At 50.8% G+C, this 17,162-nt stretch overlaps 1 protein-coding gene, 1 long non-coding RNA gene and 1 other non-coding gene across 4 annotated transcripts, besides 11 other annotated features; 2 read left to right on the plus strand and 1 right to left on the minus strand.

Annotated features, from left to right (window-relative positions):
- Positions 1,782–2,076: a silencer, noted in NCBI's record as "tiled region #14532; HepG2 Repressive non-DNase unmatched - State 5:Enh, and K562 Repressive DNase unmatched - State 7:EnhWF". NCBI's record gives its function as "represses a minimal TATA promoter and a strong SV40 promoter by Sharpr-MPRA in HepG2 and K562 cells {active_cell/tissue: HepG2 | K562}" and the evidence as "EXISTENCE:reporter gene assay evidence [ECO:0000049][PMID:27701403]".
- Positions 1,818–1,887: an enhancer, noted in NCBI's record as "active region_17684". NCBI's record gives its function as "activates an Ori minimal core promoter by ATAC-STARR-seq in GM12878 lymphoblastoid cells {active_cell/tissue: GM12878}" and the evidence as "EXISTENCE:reporter gene assay evidence [ECO:0000049][PMID:35858748]".
- Positions 2,829–3,667: an enhancer, noted in NCBI's record as "VISTA enhancer hs480". NCBI's record gives its function as "enhancer in: neural tube[8/8] | hindbrain (rhombencephalon)[8/8] | midbrain (mesencephalon)[8/8] | forebrain[8/8] | eye[8/8]" and the evidence as "EXISTENCE:transgenic organism evidence [ECO:0001131][PMID:17130149]".
- Positions 3,403–3,582: an enhancer, noted in NCBI's record as "active region_17685". NCBI's record gives its function as "activates an Ori minimal core promoter by ATAC-STARR-seq in GM12878 lymphoblastoid cells {active_cell/tissue: GM12878}" and the evidence as "EXISTENCE:reporter gene assay evidence [ECO:0000049][PMID:35858748]".
- LOC105372588 (uncharacterized) lies at positions 3,607–4,111 on the minus strand. The gene is made up of 2 exons (XR_936669.2): positions 4,019–4,111; positions 3,607–3,861 (listed from the first exon to the last, which is right to left on the minus strand). It is a non-coding gene; the product is annotated as an uncharacterized LOC105372588 (long non-coding RNA).
- Positions 3,972–4,642: an enhancer, noted in NCBI's record as "H3K27ac hESC enhancer chr20:30192859-30193529 (GRCh37/hg19 assembly coordinates)". NCBI's record gives its function as "activates a minimal SCP1, AML or CMV promoter by ChIP-STARR-seq in naive and primed H9 embryonic stem cells {active_cell/tissue: H9 hESC(naive and primed)}" and the evidence as "EXISTENCE:reporter gene assay evidence [ECO:0000049][PMID:30033119]".
- Positions 4,205–5,426, plus strand: ID1 (inhibitor of DNA binding 1). Of its 2 annotated transcripts, NM_002165.4 has the most exons (2): positions 4,205–4,729; positions 4,969–5,426. In NM_002165.4, the coding sequence occupies exons 1-2, from the start codon at positions 4,304–4,306 to the stop codon at positions 5,008–5,010; spliced, it is 468 nt and encodes a 155-aa protein (NP_002156.2). In that variant the 5' UTR covers positions 4,205–4,303; the 3' UTR covers positions 5,011–5,426. The 2 variants fall into 2 exon arrangements, with proteins under 2 accessions (NP_002156.2, NP_851998.1); NM_181353.3 differs by having other exon boundaries at positions 4,205–5,426.
- Positions 4,643–5,312: an enhancer, noted in NCBI's record as "H3K27ac hESC enhancer chr20:30193530-30194199 (GRCh37/hg19 assembly coordinates)". NCBI's record gives its function as "activates a minimal SCP1, AML or CMV promoter by ChIP-STARR-seq in naive H9 embryonic stem cells {active_cell/tissue: H9 hESC(naive)}" and the evidence as "EXISTENCE:reporter gene assay evidence [ECO:0000049][PMID:30033119]".
- Positions 5,359–5,937: an enhancer, noted in NCBI's record as "OCT4-NANOG-H3K27ac-H3K4me1 hESC enhancer chr20:30194246-30194824 (GRCh37/hg19 assembly coordinates)". NCBI's record gives its function as "activates a minimal SCP1, AML or CMV promoter by ChIP-STARR-seq in primed H9 embryonic stem cells {active_cell/tissue: H9 hESC(primed)}" and the evidence as "EXISTENCE:reporter gene assay evidence [ECO:0000049][PMID:30033119]".
- Positions 5,962–6,256: a silencer, noted in NCBI's record as "tiled region #11771; K562 Repressive non-DNase unmatched - State 1:Tss". NCBI's record gives its function as "represses a minimal TATA promoter and a strong SV40 promoter by Sharpr-MPRA in K562 cells {active_cell/tissue: K562}" and the evidence as "EXISTENCE:reporter gene assay evidence [ECO:0000049][PMID:27701403]".
- On the plus strand, positions 6,102–6,156 carry MIR3193 (microRNA 3193). The gene has a single exon (NR_036161.1). It is a non-coding gene; the product is annotated as a microRNA 3193 (primary transcript).
- Positions 7,318–7,893: a transcriptional cis regulatory region, noted in NCBI's record as "candidate enhancer chr20.845 targeted for multiplex CRISPR interference". NCBI's record gives its function as "positively regulates ID1 gene expression with high confidence in K562 cells {active_cell/tissue: K562}" and the evidence as "EXISTENCE:mutant phenotype evidence [ECO:0000015][PMID:30612741]".
- Positions 9,439–10,037: a transcriptional cis regulatory region, noted in NCBI's record as "candidate enhancer chr20.846 targeted for multiplex CRISPR interference". NCBI's record gives its function as "positively regulates ID1 gene expression with high confidence in K562 cells {active_cell/tissue: K562}" and the evidence as "EXISTENCE:mutant phenotype evidence [ECO:0000015][PMID:30612741]".
- Positions 16,626–16,675: an enhancer, noted in NCBI's record as "active region_17686". NCBI's record gives its function as "activates an Ori minimal core promoter by ATAC-STARR-seq in GM12878 lymphoblastoid cells {active_cell/tissue: GM12878}" and the evidence as "EXISTENCE:reporter gene assay evidence [ECO:0000049][PMID:35858748]".

Below are 17,162 nucleotides of genomic sequence, written 5' to 3' on the forward strand. Positions count from 1 at the left end.
GAGACCAGCCTGGCTAATGTGGCGAAATCCCATCTCTACTAAAAATACAAAAATTAGCCAGGTGTGGTGGTGGGCACCTGTAATCCCAGCTACTCGCGAGGCTGAGGCAGGAGAATTGCTTGAATCTGGGAGGTAGAGGTTGCAGTGAGCGGAGATCGTGCCATTGCACTCTAGCCTGGGTGACAGAGCGAGATTCCGTCTCAAAAAAAAAAAAAAGTGGATAGAAGGATATGCATAGGTTTTATACAAATACTATGTCATTTTATTTATTTTATGTATTTATATTTTGAGACAGGGTCTTGCTTTGTCACCCAGGCTGGAATGCCGTGGTGGCATCTTGGCTCACTGCAATCTCCACTTCTTGGGTTCATGAAATTCTCTTGCCTTAGCCTCCCAAGTAGCTGGGATTACAGGTGTGCACCACCACGCCCTGCTAATTTTTCTATTTTTAGTAGAGATGAGGTTTCACCATGTTGGCCAGATTGATCTCGAACTCCTGACCTCAGGTTATCCACCTGGCTTGGCCTTACAAACTGCTGGGATTACAGGCGTGAGCCACTGCGCCTGGCCCTGAATTAATTTCTACAGCATAATTTTCTCTCTTATTTTTATTTTTTTGAATCAGAATCTCACTCTGTCGCCCAGGCTGGAGTGCAGTGGCTTGGTCTCGGCTCTCTGCAACCTCCACCTCCTGGGTTCAAATGATTCTCCTGCCTCAGCCTCCCAGGTACTTGGGACTACAGGCGCCCACCACCACACCTGGCTAATTTTTGTATTTTTAGTAGAGACTGGGTTTTGCTATGTTGGCCAAGCTGGTTTCTCTGGAATTCATTGCAGTAAACAGAATTGCTGGATCAATTAATTCACAGTTGAAGGCCAGGCACTGTGGCTCACGCCTGTAATCCCAGTACTTTGGGAGTCTGAGGTGGAGAGATCACAAGGTCAGGAGTTTGAGACCAGCCTGGCCAACATAGTGAAACCCCGTCTCTACTAAAAAGACAAAAAATTTAGCCTGGTGTGGTGGCGGGCACCTGTAATCCCAGCTACTTGGGAGGCTGAGGCAGAAGAATCGCTTGAACCCAGGAGGCGGAGGTTGCAGTGAACCAAGACTGTGCTATTGCACTCCAGCCTGGGTGACAGTCTGAGACTCTATCTCAAAAAAAAATAAATAAATAGTTGGTGATGGCCAGGCACGGTGGCTCATGCCTGTAATCCCAGCACTTTGGGAGGCCAAGGCGGGCGGATCACCTGAGGTCAGGAGTTTGAGACCACCCTAGGCAACATGGCAAAACCCCGTCTCCACTAAAAATACAAAAATTAGATGGGCGTGGTGGTGGGTGCCTGTAATCCCAGCCTGAGGCAGGAGAATGACTTGAACTCAGGAGGTGGTGGTTGCAGTGAGCTGAGATCGCGCCACTGCACTCCAGTCTGGGCAACAGAGCGAGACTCTGCCTCAAAAATAAACAAAAATAAACACTTGGTGATGAATTAATACTCTAATTTCCTCTGGTTGACTGTTGTTCTTCCAATTATTTGGCAATTCTTTTGAGCAGCAAACTATTCCCTCCCATCATTAATTTAGGATTGCTAAACAAGGCGTAGGGAGTTTAGAGAGTTTTGGTGTGTGTGGTAAGGGGATGAGGAGTCTGGCTAATTAATTGATGATGTCTCTCTCTTTTGAAGCTGGTCTCACTGATTGGTTTGGTTTTCCTGGTTTCCTGATGTGGAGGCAGAAGGCTCCTTTACTTTTCCCTCATCCCCCGAACTTCTGTGGGAAAACGGAACCTGCTGATAACTCAGTGAATTAATTGCTGCGGGGTAGTGCGGTGGAGCGGAGCAGGGAGGGACCATAATATCACCCTCCACTGGTGAGCACAGATTTTTACCCCTGCTAATGTTGTGTGGCTTTGGGTGACTAATCTGAGCTTCGGTTTCCCCACCTGTGGCATGTCCAGGACTCTGCAGTCAGACTGCCTGCTCTCAGCAGGAAGCGGTTGCATTACAACACTGTACCCTCCTTATAATAACACAACTATGGTTATGACTTAGGCGTCGTGTGGAGCCTCAGTTTCCTTTGTATAAAGAAACCAAAGAGCTCCTTTCTTTAGAGTTGTGAAAAAGACTACAGAAGTTGATCAAGCCGGGTGACAGAGTAAGACCCTGTATCATTATTATTTTATTTTGAAACAGAGTCCCACTCTGTCGCCCAGGCTGGAGTGCAGTGGCATAATCTCGGCTCACTACAACCTCCGCCTCCTGGGTTCCAGCGAGTCTCCTGCCTCAGCCTCCTGAGTAGCTGGGGTATTACAGGTGCGCGCCACCACACCTGGCTAATTTTTCATTTTTAGTAGAGACGGGATTTCACCATGTTGGTCAGGCTGGTCTCGAACTCCTGACCTCGTGATCTGCCCACCACGGCCTCCCAAAGTGCTGGGATTACAGGCGTGAGCCACTGCGCCCGGCCCCCTGTATCCTTTTTTTTTTTTTTTTTTTTGAGACGAGTCTCACTCTGTCGCCAGGCTTGAGTGCAGTGGTGCGATCTCGGCTCACTGCAACCTCCGCCTCCCAGGTTCAAGCAATTCTCCTGTCTCAGCCTCCCGAGTAGCTGGGATTACAGGCGAACGCTACCATGCCCGGCTAATTTTTGTATTTTTAGTAGAGATGGGGTTTCACCATATTGGTCAGGCTGGTCTCGAACTCCTGACCTCAGGCAATCCACCCGCCTCGGCCTTCCAAATTGTTGGGATTACAGGCGTGAGCCACCGCGCAGCCCTTCATTTTTTAAAATAAGAAATAAATGAAAAAAGATGATCAAGACAAACTCTTCATACAGTGCCCGCTGTACAAAGTAAGAAATTAATAATGGTCACGTTTGTGATTATTATTTAAACACCAAGCAGATATTAAATATTAGGGCTCAGAGAGGGCATGCGACCCGCCTGAATTCACTCAGCTGCAGAGCTGGAAAGAGAACTCAGGCCTTTTTCCCCACGCTGGAAGGGGTAGCTGGGGCGGAGAGGTGGGGGGAGCGGTGAAGAAACCCCAAGCGGCCCAAGCTGTGGGTCTGGGTTGGGAGACTCGCAGGTGTGGGGCGGGGAGGTAAGGTGACCCTTGCTCAGCGACCGCGCCCGCAAGAAACGCATTCCCAGGCCTCCCGCCCGGGGTCTGCAGGTGACGGGCTGGGGGGAGCACGGGAACTAGCTAGACCAGTTTGTCGTCTCCATGGCGACCGCCCGCGCGGCGCCAGCCTGACAGTCCGTCCGGGTTTTATGAATGGGTGACGTCACAGGCCTGGCGTCTAACGGTCTGAGCCGCTGGTTCAGACGCTGACACAGACCGGCCCGGGAAGGGAGGGGGGAGACTGTAGCTCCGCAGCTGCCGCGCCGTGGGAGGGAGACCCTGCTCTGAGGTCTTTGAGAAGAAAATTTAAAAAGCAGCCAAAAATGGGAAAAAACATTAAAAAATCACGAACTGTTGCAGGTTCAGGAAATTTTTGCAAGGAGCTGCAAATTCAAGGTGGAATCGAATGCAGCCTCACTCCACTGCGCTCTATCTAGTTCACTTCCCAGCCACCCAGCCCCAAACTTACTAGACTTTCCCGAATTAATTGCTCCCACCCGGGAGGGATCTGGGTAGGCCCTCCGGGTCTCAGGAACACGAACAGCAACATTATTTAGGAATTGAGAAAGCCCAGGGGAGCAGATGTAAAGGAGCGCCCGCTTTAAATTTCGGTCCTGATATTTGTAGATCAGGGTCCGAGAAGCATCTTCCAAGAGGGTCCGGAAACCCAGGCTCTCTGGGCTATCCAGAGCCAGCCGCTTCTCCGTTCGGGCCTCAATTTCTCTCATCTGTGAAATGGAGCTGGAGAAGTGAGAAAGTGAATATGGGAAAAACTGATTCCTGAGGTCTTTTCATTATAAGGCAATGCCTGCTTAGCTTCCTTGCCTCCTTCCAGAGGAGCCCAGTGCGGCCCTCGCCTCTACCCGCTGCCCTGCCCGGTGCCCTGCCACCGACCCACCCTTGCTGTTCTGAAACCCGGGTCGTCTTTCCACACTGCGAGCAGGCACTAGACGAGCAGGAGGCTGGACCTAGGAGCGCGGGTCACGCCCCCATGCCGCCCATTGGCTGCTTTTGAACGTTCTGAGCCCGCCCCTCCGGGGGCCGTGGCGTGTTTATAAAAGACAAGCTGTGGCTCCGCACTCTCATTCCACGTTCTTAACTGTTCCATTTTCCGTATCTGCTTCGGGCTTCCACCTCATTTTTTTCGCTTTGCCCATTCTGTTTCAGCCAGTCGCCAAGAATCATGAAAGTCGCCAGTGGCAGCACCGCCACCGCCGCCGCGGGCCCCAGCTGCGCGCTGAAGGCCGGCAAGACAGCGAGCGGTGCGGGCGAGGTGGTGCGCTGTCTGTCTGAGCAGAGCGTGGCCATCTCGCGCTGCGCCGGGGGCGCCGGGGCGCGCCTGCCTGCCCTGCTGGACGAGCAGCAGGTAAACGTGCTGCTCTACGACATGAACGGCTGTTACTCACGCCTCAAGGAGCTGGTGCCCACCCTGCCCCAGAACCGCAAGGTGAGCAAGGTGGAGATTCTCCAGCACGTCATCGACTACATCAGGGACCTTCAGTTGGAGCTGAACTCGGAATCCGAAGTTGGAACCCCCGGGGGCCGAGGGCTGCCGGTCCGGGCTCCGCTCAGCACCCTCAACGGCGAGATCAGCGCCCTGACGGCCGAGGTGAGATCCAGATCCGACCACTAGATCATCCTTATACCGACGGGGAAACGGAGGCCAGAGAGGGCGTGGGCGCTTGCACCACTTCCGTCCCATCCTTGCGGGTACCTGGCTATGCGGGGGTGCCTAAGGAGCCTGGAAAAAGCGCTCCCCCGTCGTGCTTCCTGGGGAAGGGGGCGTTCGCTGCGCTCGGAGCGGCGTCCCTTCCAACCCGCCGGTCTCATTTCTTCTCGTTTTCACAGGCGGCATGCGTTCCTGCGGACGATCGCATCTTGTGTCGCTGAAGCGCCTCCCCCAGGGACCGGCGGACCCCAGCCATCCAGGGGGCAAGAGGAATTACGTGCTCTGTGGGTCTCCCCCAACGCGCCTCGCCGGATCTGAGGGAGAACAAGACCGATCGGCGGCCACTGCGCCCTTAACTGCATCCAGCCTGGGGCTGAGGCTGAGGCACTGGCGAGGAGAGGGCGCTCCTCTCTGCACACCTACTAGTCACCAGAGACTTTAGGGGGTGGGATTCCACTCGTGTGTTTCTATTTTTTGAAAAGCAGACATTTTAAAAAATGGTCACGTTTGGTGCTTCTCAGATTTCTGAGGAAATTGCTTTGTATTGTATATTACAATGATCACCGACTGAAAATATTGTTTTACAATAGTTCTGTGGGGCTGTTTTTTTGTTATTAAACAAATAATTTAGATGGTGGTAAAGTTGTAGTGACTTCTTGGGTTGAGGGGAGGGGCCTGGGCTGGGGGTTGACCCCTGACCCTCTTCACAGCTGGTTCTGGGAGGAGAATTGGAGGGCTACATCTGGATTGTTGCTCTTACCGGCCTGAATGAGTGTTTCCGGTGTCTTTAAAGTCTATTCTTCCCCCACCATCCCTGCCCATTTCCCTGCTCCCCAGTGTTATAAAACTAAATACTCCAGACCTCTGGGGTTTCTCACAGTGATCATTGGGCCATCTAGATCACCTGGGGAGGTTGTTAAAATGCAGATGAACCTGCCAGGGCCCCCTCTGTATTGGGAGTATTGAGCAAGCCATTTAAGTTGGAGAACCTGGCCGCTGGACCACCCACTTCCTTGCCAAGATGTGGATAAAGTGAGACCCAGTGGAAAGGGACTTGCTTAGGGCCATAGCTTGTGAGAGGCAGTGATTCTATCACCCCATTCCCCAGTTGGAGGTGCCTCCCCCAACAGCCTACCTCTGGGTTCCAGCAGGCAGCCCTGGGGCTCCTGGCTCATCCAAGTGGGTGAGCAAGTTGGCAGGGCCAGGCTGGGCACAGCTGCCGAGACACCTGCTCTGGGTCCAGACTCGGCCTCCTCACTCTGGCCTGGCTCTGTCGGCAGTTCAAACAAATCTCCCCCACCAACCCCGGGGCTCCTGCGTAGGATCTGAGGAGTGGACGAGTCTCATTACCCAGCTCCTGAGCAGGAAAAATATGTCATTGGCAAGGGTCTAAGAATCTTCCTGGACATGTATGTGGATTTCTACTCAGGGGAGCATGTATGAGTGTCTACGCCTGTGTATGTAACAGGAGTAAGCTGATCTTCCCCCACTACTCCCACAGTGGGGATGGGCCAACTGTTCACATATAGGCTTGGGGGAGGGGGTGTAAGTAGGAGTATGCTTGGGGGTGTGTGCAGAAGGGCAAATGAGAGCACATGTGTTCTGCAGATAAGTGTGGAACCTCCAGCTGTTTGGGCTTGTGTGTTCTGCCTAAATGCATTGTAGGCATCTCTGCATGGGTCTGGCATGATGGATGGGTTTGTGTGTCTGGGGGCCACAGAACCACACTGTGGGTTTCTGTGTGTATAACTGTTCTATAGATTGGTTGGCATTCCTGGGCCTCTGCGGGTCTGGAGTGAAGGTGGGGACAGCTGTGTTTGGGCAAACCCTTCCTCAAAAGTTCACGTGGCAACTCCCTGGGCTATCGTTAGGTCCTGGGGGCACCAACCCTCAAGGATTGCTGCCAGGTAAACCCCCCTGTATTACATATGGAGAAACTGAGTCCCAGGAATGACAAAGAACTTGTCCCAGACAGGTAAGGGCTATTAATATATTTTGTCAATAAACAATAGAATAAAATCAATAGCCCTTAGCACCAGAAGCCTGGCTCTGCTCAACTGAACCCTTTACAAAAACGATTTCATGGATCCCTGTGGGGCTAAAGGCAAGACTGTGATCCCAGTTTTACAGCAGAAGGAACAAGCTCAGAGAGGGGATGAACAAAAAATCAAATGAAAGATTATGATTTGAGCACTAACATTAAGCCAGGTACACCCCCTCCACAGTTTATGGATTTTATCGAAGAACCCAGTACTTGCAGGCGAATTATGTTCTTTGCTACCTCCTCCCCACCGGCTGCTGTATTACAGTACTAACCTCACGGAATGTAGTACAGAATAAATGAAATAAAGTAAGTGTGTAAAACGTTTAGCACAGTGCTTGGCACAGAATGTTTCATAGTTATAAATTATTATTGTCGCCTGTGAGTCCTTGGAGTGTCCTCGGAGGCACACGTGTGCACGCACGCACTCTCACGTGTGGGCCCCCGCCTGCAAGCCCACCCACGGGGTCTGAGCGGGTTCCCCCTCGCGTACTCCGACATGCAGGGCCTTTTTCCAGGGGAGGAAGGGGCTGCGGCGGGGGCCTGGGCCACCTCCCCCGCCATTCAGGCACACTCTGGATTCCACGTTTCCCTCTGTTCCCCTTTGGCCCAGACCCAGCCCATCTGGAGGCCGGCTCCGCGGCGGCCTGGGAGCGTTTCCATCAGCTGGGCCCGAGGAATGCGGAGCTATTTAACCTGAGCATCCCCAGGTGTACGGAGGCGCCTGGCTGTCTGGGGCCCGCAGCCTTTGGCACAGCCGCGCTAGACAAACAGCGCGCCGCCCCCGCCCTGCCCCTCCGCCCCCAGCTGCAGCCGGGCCTGGGAACCGGCGGGCGCCGGCGGCTTGCATAAGAGGCTCCGGGCCTCGCAGAGGGAGGGGGGACAGAGGCCACCGGTGTGTGTGCATGTAACACACAAAACCCTGCTCCTTTGGAAATCATTAACTCCTTAACCCCTCCTGGACAGGACGAAGCCAGGAGCTGGGGTGGAAGATGCCGAGAAACCCGAGGACCAAGTTTCTTGGGCACTGGACTCTGCCTTTCCGGGGCTGTACTGTTAATTTTATTTAAGAAATACAGAGAGCTTATTGTGTGCTGGGCACCATGCTAAACTCTTTACAATATCAATTCATTTAATCGTCAGAACTTGTTAACGAGGCCAGTGCTATCATCATATGCTCATTTTAATAAGAGCAACCACCACCACTACAACAAGAGTAATAGGCTAACATTTTAGTAGGGAGGCAGGTAGAACACAAGCCCAGAATCAACCTTGATGCTCATCACTTCACCTGTCAGAGCCTCTTCTTTTTTGGAAAACGGGCTTCAGAACCTGGGCTTCAAGGATTAATTGAACCAATGCACCTAAAAAGCATAGCACAGGCTCATGGTAGATACTTAGTGCATATTGCAATAAAGTGTTTTGAGCGGATTGTCTCAACAGCCCTACCAGGTGTGGGCCTACTGGTATATTCACTTTTTTGGTTTTTTTGAGACAGAGTCTCCCTCTATTGCCCAGGCTGGGGTGCGGTGGCACCATCTTGGCTCACTGCAACCTCCACCTCCCAGGTTCAAGTGATCCTCCTGCCTCAGCCTCCCGAGTAGCTGGGATTACAGGCACGTGCCACCATGCCCAGCTAATTTTTGTATTTTTTTTGTAGAAAAGGGTTTTCACCATGTTGGCCAGGCTAGTCTCGAACTCTTGACCTGAAGGGATCTGCCCACCTCAGCTTCCCGAAGAGCTGGGATTACAGATGTAAGCCACCGTGCCCGGCCTGTGTTCACTTTTCAGATGAGAAAACGGAGGCATCAAAGAGGTGAGGTGACCCACCCAAGGCCACATTGCACATTACCTTAGAGGACTTTCCAGAAATCAGACTTGTCTAAATCAGGTTTATGAGGGGCCTCATGTTCCCACAGTATGTCCAGTTTATAAAGCCTTTCATCTTATTTCCAACTGAAATCATACCTGGTCATTATATTTATTTGTTTTAAAAGCATAACTCAGATAAATGCAAGAAATATACACATATCACAATTTTTGCAACCCATATTGGGGAATGTCTATTTTTTTTTTTAAGACAGTTTTCCTCGTCACCCAGGCTGGAGTGCAATGGGGCGATCTCGACTCAACCGCAACCTCCGCTTCCCAGTTTCAAGCAATTCTTCTGCCTCAGCTTCCCAAGAAGCTGGGATTACAGGCATATGCCAACACGCCCAGCTAATTTTTGTATTTTTAGTAGAGACAGGGTTTCACCATGTTTGCCAGGCTGCTCTCGAACTCCTGACCTCAGGTGATCTACCCTCCTCAGCCTCCCAAAGTGCATGAGGCCACCGTGCCCGGCTCTTTTTTTTTTTTTTTTTTTTTTTTTGAGACAGAGTCTCGCTCTGTCGCCCAGGCTGGAGTGCAGTGGCGTGATCTTGGCTCATTGCAACCTCCGCCTCCCGGGTTCAAGCAATTCTCATGCCTCAGCCTCCTGAGTAGCTGAGATTACAGACGCGCACCACCACATCTGGCTAATTTTTATATATTTAGTAGAGACGGGGTTTCACCATGTTGCCCAGGCTGGCCTCGAACTCCTGACCTCAGGTGATCAGCCCTCCTCAACCTCCCAAAGTGCTGGGATTACAGGCGTGAGCCACCACACCCGACCCATGCCAGTCACTCTTATTGAGCACCAGGAACTGCCAGCCAGAGAGAGCTCCCTGCTGCCCAGTGTCACACACAGCAGGGCTTCCTGGTGGCAGGCAGGTCTCACATCCTAGCATGGCTGCCGGAAAGAAAGGAGGTGAGTCACAGGGCCAGGCCAGGAGCTGGGCGAGGCTGGGGCCAGGGTCCAGGCAGGCGCCACTTTCCAGGAAAGGGAAGGGAAGAGGAAACCAGAAGGCCAGGAGGAGCACAGGGAGGGGCGAGGGTGCCCTTATCTCCCTGGACCTGCCCTGGCTGGTGCTGCTTCCTGCTGCAACTCTTGCAAAACCTCGTTCCCAACGCTGTCCTCAAGCAGGGTGCCCCAGGCCAGTACAGGGTTGCATCAAGGCCTTGTGCAAGGGGGGTTAAAGGGAGGACAGTGGCTGGGAGCAAAGGCAGGGCAAGAGGCAAGGCAAATGCGGGTTCTAGGCCCAGTGCCACTTCTGGTTGGGCACCTGCTTCACCTCCTGGGCTCTTAGGATCCCCAGCATTTTTTTTTTTTTTTTTGAGACGGAGTCTCACTCTGTTGCCAACCTCTGCCTCCTGGGTTCAAGCAATTCTCCTGCCTCAGCCCCTCCAGTAGCTGAGTCTACCGGTGTGCACCACGACGCCCAGCAATTTTTGTATTTTTAGTAGAGACAGGGTTTCTACATGTTGGCCAGGTTGGTCTCGAACTACTGACCTCAGGTGATCCACCTGCCTTGGCCTCCCAAATTGTTGGGATTACAGGTGTGAGCCACTGCACCCTGCCATCCCCAGCATTTTTTTTTTTTTTTTTTTTTTGAGACAGAGTCTCCCTCTCTTGCTAGCCTGGAGTGCAGTGGCAGGAGCTCAGCTCACTGCAACCTGTGTCTCCCAGGTTCAAGTGATTCTCCTGCCTCACCCTCCCAAGTAGCTGGGGTTATAGGCACGTGCCACCACGCCCAGCTAATTTTTGTGTTTTTAGTAGAGACGGGGTTTCACCGTGTTGGCCAGGTTGGTCTTGACCTTCTGACCTCGTGGTCTGCCCGCCTTGGCCTCCCAAAGTGCTGGGATTACAGGTGTGAGCCACCATGTCGCCCAGCCTCATTCCCAGCTTTTAAATGGGTGTTATACTCACCGTTTTGAGGTTTCAGTGATATCATCCCAAACCTTTGCACTCCTCAAGCCTCAGGCTAGGCCATTGTACTTCTACCTGTGAAACTAGCCCCAACTGGTTCTTTCAACAAATAGTTTATAAAGCTTCTACAATATACTAGGAACCGGGCCCCAGGAGTTAACAATTCAGATACAAATTCTTGCAGTCTTGGAACTTACATTCTTAGTGGGAGACACGCAGTAGATAAATATGCAGATGTGTAATCAGAGGTGCATTTACCTGGAAATTACTTAAGCTTAAACTTCAAGCCTCCTCACATGGAAAGAGTATCAGCCATGTGTTAGCATGATTTCTGTGTGTTTTGCAAGATTTGCAAAATGTTGTATTCTTTTCCTTAGAGGCTGCACAAACCTAGATCCTCTTCTTTATATATAGACGAGACCGAGCAGGGCCCAAGCTTGAAGGCATAGCTGCAGAAGACAAAGAATCGTGTCTGTGGGTGCTGTTCGTTGCTTGGGTTTGTTTTGTTATTTTATTAATTTATTTTTATTTATTTATATATTTTTTGAGACAGTTTCCTCCTTGTCACCCAGGCTGGAGTGCAATGGTACCATCTCAACTCACTGCAACCCCCGCCTCCTGGGTTCAAGCGATTTTCCTGCCTCAGCCTCCCAAGTAGCTGGGGTTACAGGTGCCTGCCACCACGCCCAGCTAATTTTTTTTTTTTTTTTAATTGTGAGACAAAGTCTCGTTCTGTCACCAGGCTAGAGTGCAGTGGCGCAATCTCGACTCATTGCAACCTCTGCCTTCTGGGTTCAAGCGATTCTTCTGCCTCAGCCTCCCGAGTAGCTGGGACTATGGCGTGCACCACCACGTCCAGCTAATTTTTTGTATTTTTAGTAGAGACGGGATTTCATCATGTTGGCCAGGATGGTCTCCAACGCCTGACCTCAGGTGATCCATCCGCCTCGGCCTCCCAAAGTGCTGAGATTACAGGCGTGAACCACCGGGCCCGGCCTGTTGTTGTTTTAATAGAGACGGGGTCTTGCATGGTTGCCCAGGCTGGCCTCAAAATCCTGGGCTCAAGCAATCCTCCCGCCTCTGCCTCCCAAAGCACTGGGATTACAGGCGTGAGCCACCCTGTCCGGCCCGGTTTTTGGGTTTGAGACCCTAAAATCTCTGGGCGGCAGAGAAGAGCTGGGAAGCGGGCCAGCGCTTTCCAGAGCACCTGGTCTCATGCAGCTGCAAACGCAGGCGCTGTGCCCGCCCCCGTCTTCCTTTGGCCACCAGCGCCCCCTCCCGGGCAGAGCCCGGGCTATGCCACCGTGGGCGAGAAAGGCGGCCTGGTTGCGGCGAGAGGCGGAGGCTGATGCCTTGGTGGCCTCTAGTGGACGCCTTGGGAACTGCAGTCAGAGCTGCAAGCGTGTTAGGAGAGTGAAGAGTTCTGCGCACATGTAAACCCTCAGCCCCTTCTCTCAGGCCCCCTTTGGCTACCGTTTCCCCCATTCTCTCATCCTCTTTCCTCTTCCTTGCTTGTGACAACCCCCTATGAGCCTCATTCCCTCCCTTTTTTTTTTTTTTTTTCTGAGATGGAGTCTCGCTCTGTCGCCCAGGCTGGAGTGCAGTGGCACGATCTCGGCTCACTGCAACCTTCGCCTCCAGGGTTCACGCCATTCTCCTGCCTCGGCCTCCGGAGTAGCTGGGACTACAGGCGCCCGCCACCACGCCCAGCTAATTTTTTGTATTTTTAGTAGAGAGGGGGTTTCACCGTGTTAGCCAGAATGGTCTCGATCTCCTGACCTCGTGATGCGCCCGCCTCAGCCTCCCAAAGTGCTGGGATTACAGGCGTGAGCCAGCGTGCCCGGCATTCCTTCCCTTTTAAAGGAGGAGATCTTGGGCTAATCTTGGAAATTTCTTTTCTTTTTCTTTTTCTTTTCTTTCTTCTTTCTTTTCTTTTCTTTTTTTTTTTCTTTGAGACGGAGTCTGGCTCTGTCGCCCAGGCTGGAGTGCAGTGGCTCGATCTCGGCTCACTGCAAGCTCCGCCTCCCGGGTTCACGCCATTCTCCTGACTCAGCCTCCCCAATAGCTGGGACTACAGGCGCCCGCCACCGCACCCGGCTAATTTTTTTGTATTTTTAGTAGAGACGGGGTTTCACCGTGGTCTCGATCTCCTGACCTCGTGATCCGCTTGCCTCGGCCTCCCAAAATGCTGGGATTACAGGCGTGAGCCACCGCTCCCGGCTTTTTTTTTTTTTTTTTTTTTTTTGTAGCCCAGGCTGGAGTGCAGTGGCGCGATCTTGGCTCATTGCAAACTCATCTCCTGGGTTCAAGCGATTCTCCTGCCTCAGCCTCCCGAGTAGCTAGGATTACAGGCGCCAGCCACCACGCCTGGCTAATTTTGTATTTTTGGTAGAGACGGGTTTCTCCATGTTGATCAGGCTGGTCTCGAACTTCCGACCTCAGGTGATAAGCCTGCCTCAGCCTCTCAAAGTGCTGGGATTACAGGCGTGAGCCACGGCGCTCAAGCTAATTTTGTTTTTTGTTTTTGTTTTTGTTTTTTGTTTTTTGTTTTTGAGGCAGAGTTTCACTCTTTCGCCCAGGCTAGAGTGCAGTGGCGCAATCTGGGCTCGCCACCAAGCCTGGCTCATTTTTTGTATTTTTAGTAGAGATGGGGTTTCACCATGTGGACCAGGCTGGTCTTGAACTCCTGACCTCAGGTGATCTGCCTACCTCGGCCTCCCAGAGTGCTGGGATTACAGGTGTGAGCCATCACGCCTGGCCTAATCTTGGAAATTTCTTTTTTTCAATTGTGAAATGTATCACACCTACAATAGAGCAGATATCACACGTCTGCAGTTTAAAGATAATAATAAAACCGGCCAGGTGCGGTGGCTCACGCCTTTAATCCCAGCACTTTGGGAGGCCGAGATTGCGCCACTGCACTCCAGCTTGGGCAACAAAGACTCTGTCTCAAAAAAAAAAAAAAATGTGTGTGTGTGTGTGTGTGTGTATATGTGTGTATATATATGTGTGTGTATATATATGTATATATGTATGTGTATGTATATATGTATATATGTATATACATATGTATACATGTGTATATATGTATATATGTATATACATATGTATACATGTGTATATATGTATATACACATGTATACATGTGTATATATGTATATATACACACATATATGTATATACACACATATGTATATATACACATATATGTATATATATAAAACTATAAAACACACAAGTACCAGCCTCTCTGCTTGAAATAGAATATTAGTTCATTTGAAGCCTGTGTTTGCCCTTCAGGATAAAATCCCCATAAGATTTTACCTCTTATCCAGAACTTTGTGTTAATCAATTGCTTGTTCTTTTATTTTTTTTCACATATGTACAAGTATGCATCCTTAAACAATCCATTACTTGATATTACCTGGTTTTGCCTTTTATATAAATAAAATCATATTATATGCAATTTTCTGCAACCTGATTTTCTCATGCAACATGAATTACATGAGAGTCATCCATGTTGATTTCTTGCCTTCATTCATTCATTTCCACCACTTTGTAGTATTCTTTTTTTTTTTTTTGAGATGGAGTTTTGCTCATGTTGCCCAACCTGGAGTGCAATGGCACGATCTCAGCTTACCGCAACCTCTGCCTCCTGGGTTCAAGCGATTCTCCTGCCTCAGCCTCCCGAGTAGCTGGGATTACAGGCATGCGCCACCATGCCCAGCTAATTTTGTATTTTTAGTAGAGACGGGGTTTCTCCATTTTGGTCAGGCTGGTCTCGAACTCCCGACCTCAGGTGATCCGCCACCTTGGCCTCCCAATGTGCAGAGATTACAGGCGTGAGCCACCGCACCCAGCCCACTTTGTAGTATTCTATTATATGATTTATTGCCCCAGTCTCCTGTGATGGACCTTTGGATTGTTTCATAGGTTTTGCTGTTATCAGCAGTGCTGCTCTGAATGCCCTCAGTGAATATGCGTTAAAAGGAGTAGGATGGCTGCATCCTAGGTGATGCACAATTTAAACATTACTAGGTTGGACTGGAGTCTATTTTGATTAAACAGAATAATCAGAACTGGAAGGTCCCTTACATACAGCTTAACCCAGCGCACTCATTGTAGAGATAGGAAAAGGAAAGCCCGGAGAAGTTCAGTGACTTGCCCAGGATCCCTCAGACCTGGCCTCTTGGGCTAAGGTCATAGCCTTGGAAGTGATTCTGGGAGTGAGGCATGAGAATATATTTCCTTCTCATTTTGAAGATGAACAAGACTGTATTTTACCCTTAAAATAGTCTTCTAGGCTGGTTTTAGAATCTGGGCAGCTGGGCACGGTGGGCTCACACCTGTCATCTCAGCACTTTGAGAGGCTGAGGTGGGCGGATCACGAGGTCAGGAGTTTGAGACCAGCCTGACCAACATGGTGACACCTTGTCTCTACTAAAAACACAAAAATTAGCCGGGCATGGTGGTGCACGCCTGTAATCCCAGCTACTCAGGAGGCTGAGACAGGAGAATTGCTTGAACCCAGGAGGCGGAAGTTGCAGTGAGCCAAGATCTGGCCACTGCACTCCAGCCTGAGCAACAGAGCAAGGCTCCGTCTCAAAAAATAATAATAATAATCTGGGCAAACTAGAAACACAGGATGCTCCTTGAAAACCATCCCGCCGGGCGTGGTGGCTCACACCTGTAATCCCAGCACTTTAGGAGACCGAGGTGGGTGGATCACGAGGTCAGGAGATTGAGATCATCCTGGCTGACATTGTGAAACCCCATTTCTACTAAAAATACAAAAATTAGCCAGGCGTGGTGGCATGCAACTGTAGTCCCAGCTACTTGAGAGGCTGAGGCAGGAGAATTGCTTGAACCTGGGAGGCAGAGGCTGCAGTAAGCTGAGATTGCACCACTGCACTCCAGCCTGGGTGACAGAGCGAGACTCCATCTCAAAAAAAAAAAAAAAAGAAAAAACCATCCCAAGACAAATACACATTCACACTCACTGCATCTCCAAGTCCTGCCAACTCTAATGCTTTTTTTTCCACCCCCTCAAAGACAAAGTCTCACTCTGTGGCGCAGGCTGGAGTGCAGTGGTGCAGTCTTGATTCACTGCAACATCTGTCTCCTGGGCTCAAGCGATCCTCCCACCTCAGCCTCCCAAGTAGCTGAGACTACAGGTGTGCACCACCACACCTGGCTAATTTTTGTATTTTTTGTTTCATCATGCTACCCAGGCTGGTCTCAAACTCCTGGGCTCAATTGACCCACCTGCCTCGGCCTCCCAAAATGCTGGGATTACAGACGTCAGCCAGTGCGCCTGGTCTTACCGCCTTTTTTTTTTTTGAGATGGTGTCTTGCTCTGTCGCCCAGGCTGTAGTGCAGTGGCAGGATCTCGGCCCACTGCAACCTCTGCCTCCCAGGTTCAGGCAATTCTACTGCTTCAGCCTCCTGAGTAGCTGGGATTACAGGCATGTGCCACCACGCTCGGCTAATTTTTGTATTTTTAGTGGAGATGGGGTTTCACCATGTTGTCCAGGCTGGTCTCGAACTCCTTGACCTCAGGTGATCTACCTGCCTCAGCCTCACAAAGTGTTGGGATTAGAGGCATGAGCCACCATGCCCGGCCTTAACTCTTAAATATATCCCAAATTTACGCATTTCTGCCCTTCCCCTTGGCCATTACCCTGGTGCCCATCATCTCACTGGGATACTGCAATAGCCTCCTCAGTCACCCTGCTTCCATTTCCCCCTCATTCTCCACATGACAGCCAGAGAGATCCTTCTAAAAAATACAAGGATCACGTCACTTGCTTGCTTAAATGCTCCCTGTGGCATTCGTTACTTTTGGAATAAAATCCTAATTTGTTACCATAGCCTACAAGGCACAGTAAGGCCTGGTTCCTGCCTACATCCACCCACTTCCCCTAACTCTCCCCTTGCCACTCCCCTCCAGTCACTTTGGTTTCCTTTCAGTTGCTCTTTCATAACTGGGGAGACTTTGCCTGTGCCTCAAATTCTACACCCTGCGTATCTTCATGTCCTTCAGCTTTCAGCCCAAAGGTTGGCTCAGAGGGTCTTCCCCGACCATCCCATCTCCTTCTTTTTTTTTTTTTTTTTTTTTTTTTGAGACAGGGTCCTCACTCTGTAGGCTGGAGTACTGTGGGGCAATCATGACTCACTTCAGCCTTGAACTCTTGGACTGAAGTGATCCTCTCGCCTCAGCCTCCCATGTAGCTGGGACCACAGGTGTGTGCCATCACGCCTGGCTAATTTTTTTTCTTTTCATTTTTGTAGAGATGGGGTCACACTTTGTTGTCCAGGCTAGTCTCAAATTCCTGGGATCAAGCAGTCCTTCCAAGTAGGGCTTCTCAGAGTGCTCAAGTGATCCTCCCACCTCAGCCTCCCAAGTAGCTGGGACTACAGGTGCACGCCACCATGCCCAGCTAATTTTTGTATTTTTTGTTTCACCATGTTGCCCAGGCTGGTCTCAAACTCCTGGGCTCAATTGATCCACCTGGCTCAGCCTCCCAAAGTGCTGGGATTACAGC

This window comes from Homo sapiens, chromosome 20, assembly GCF_000001405.40.
Source record: "Homo sapiens chromosome 20, GRCh38.p14 Primary Assembly".
Classification (NCBI taxonomy): Eukaryota; Metazoa; Chordata; class Mammalia; order Primates; family Hominidae; genus Homo; species Homo sapiens.

Coding starts and splice junctions, on each gene's coding strand:
- ID1 (NM_002165.4), top strand. CDS start 4,304: ATGAAAGTCGCCAGTGGCAGCACCGCCACCGCCGCCGCGGGCCCCAGC. Junction 4,730..4,968: donor TCAGCGCCCTGACGGCCGAG/GTGAGATCCAGA, acceptor TCGTTTTCACAG/GCGGCATGCGTTCCTGCGGA.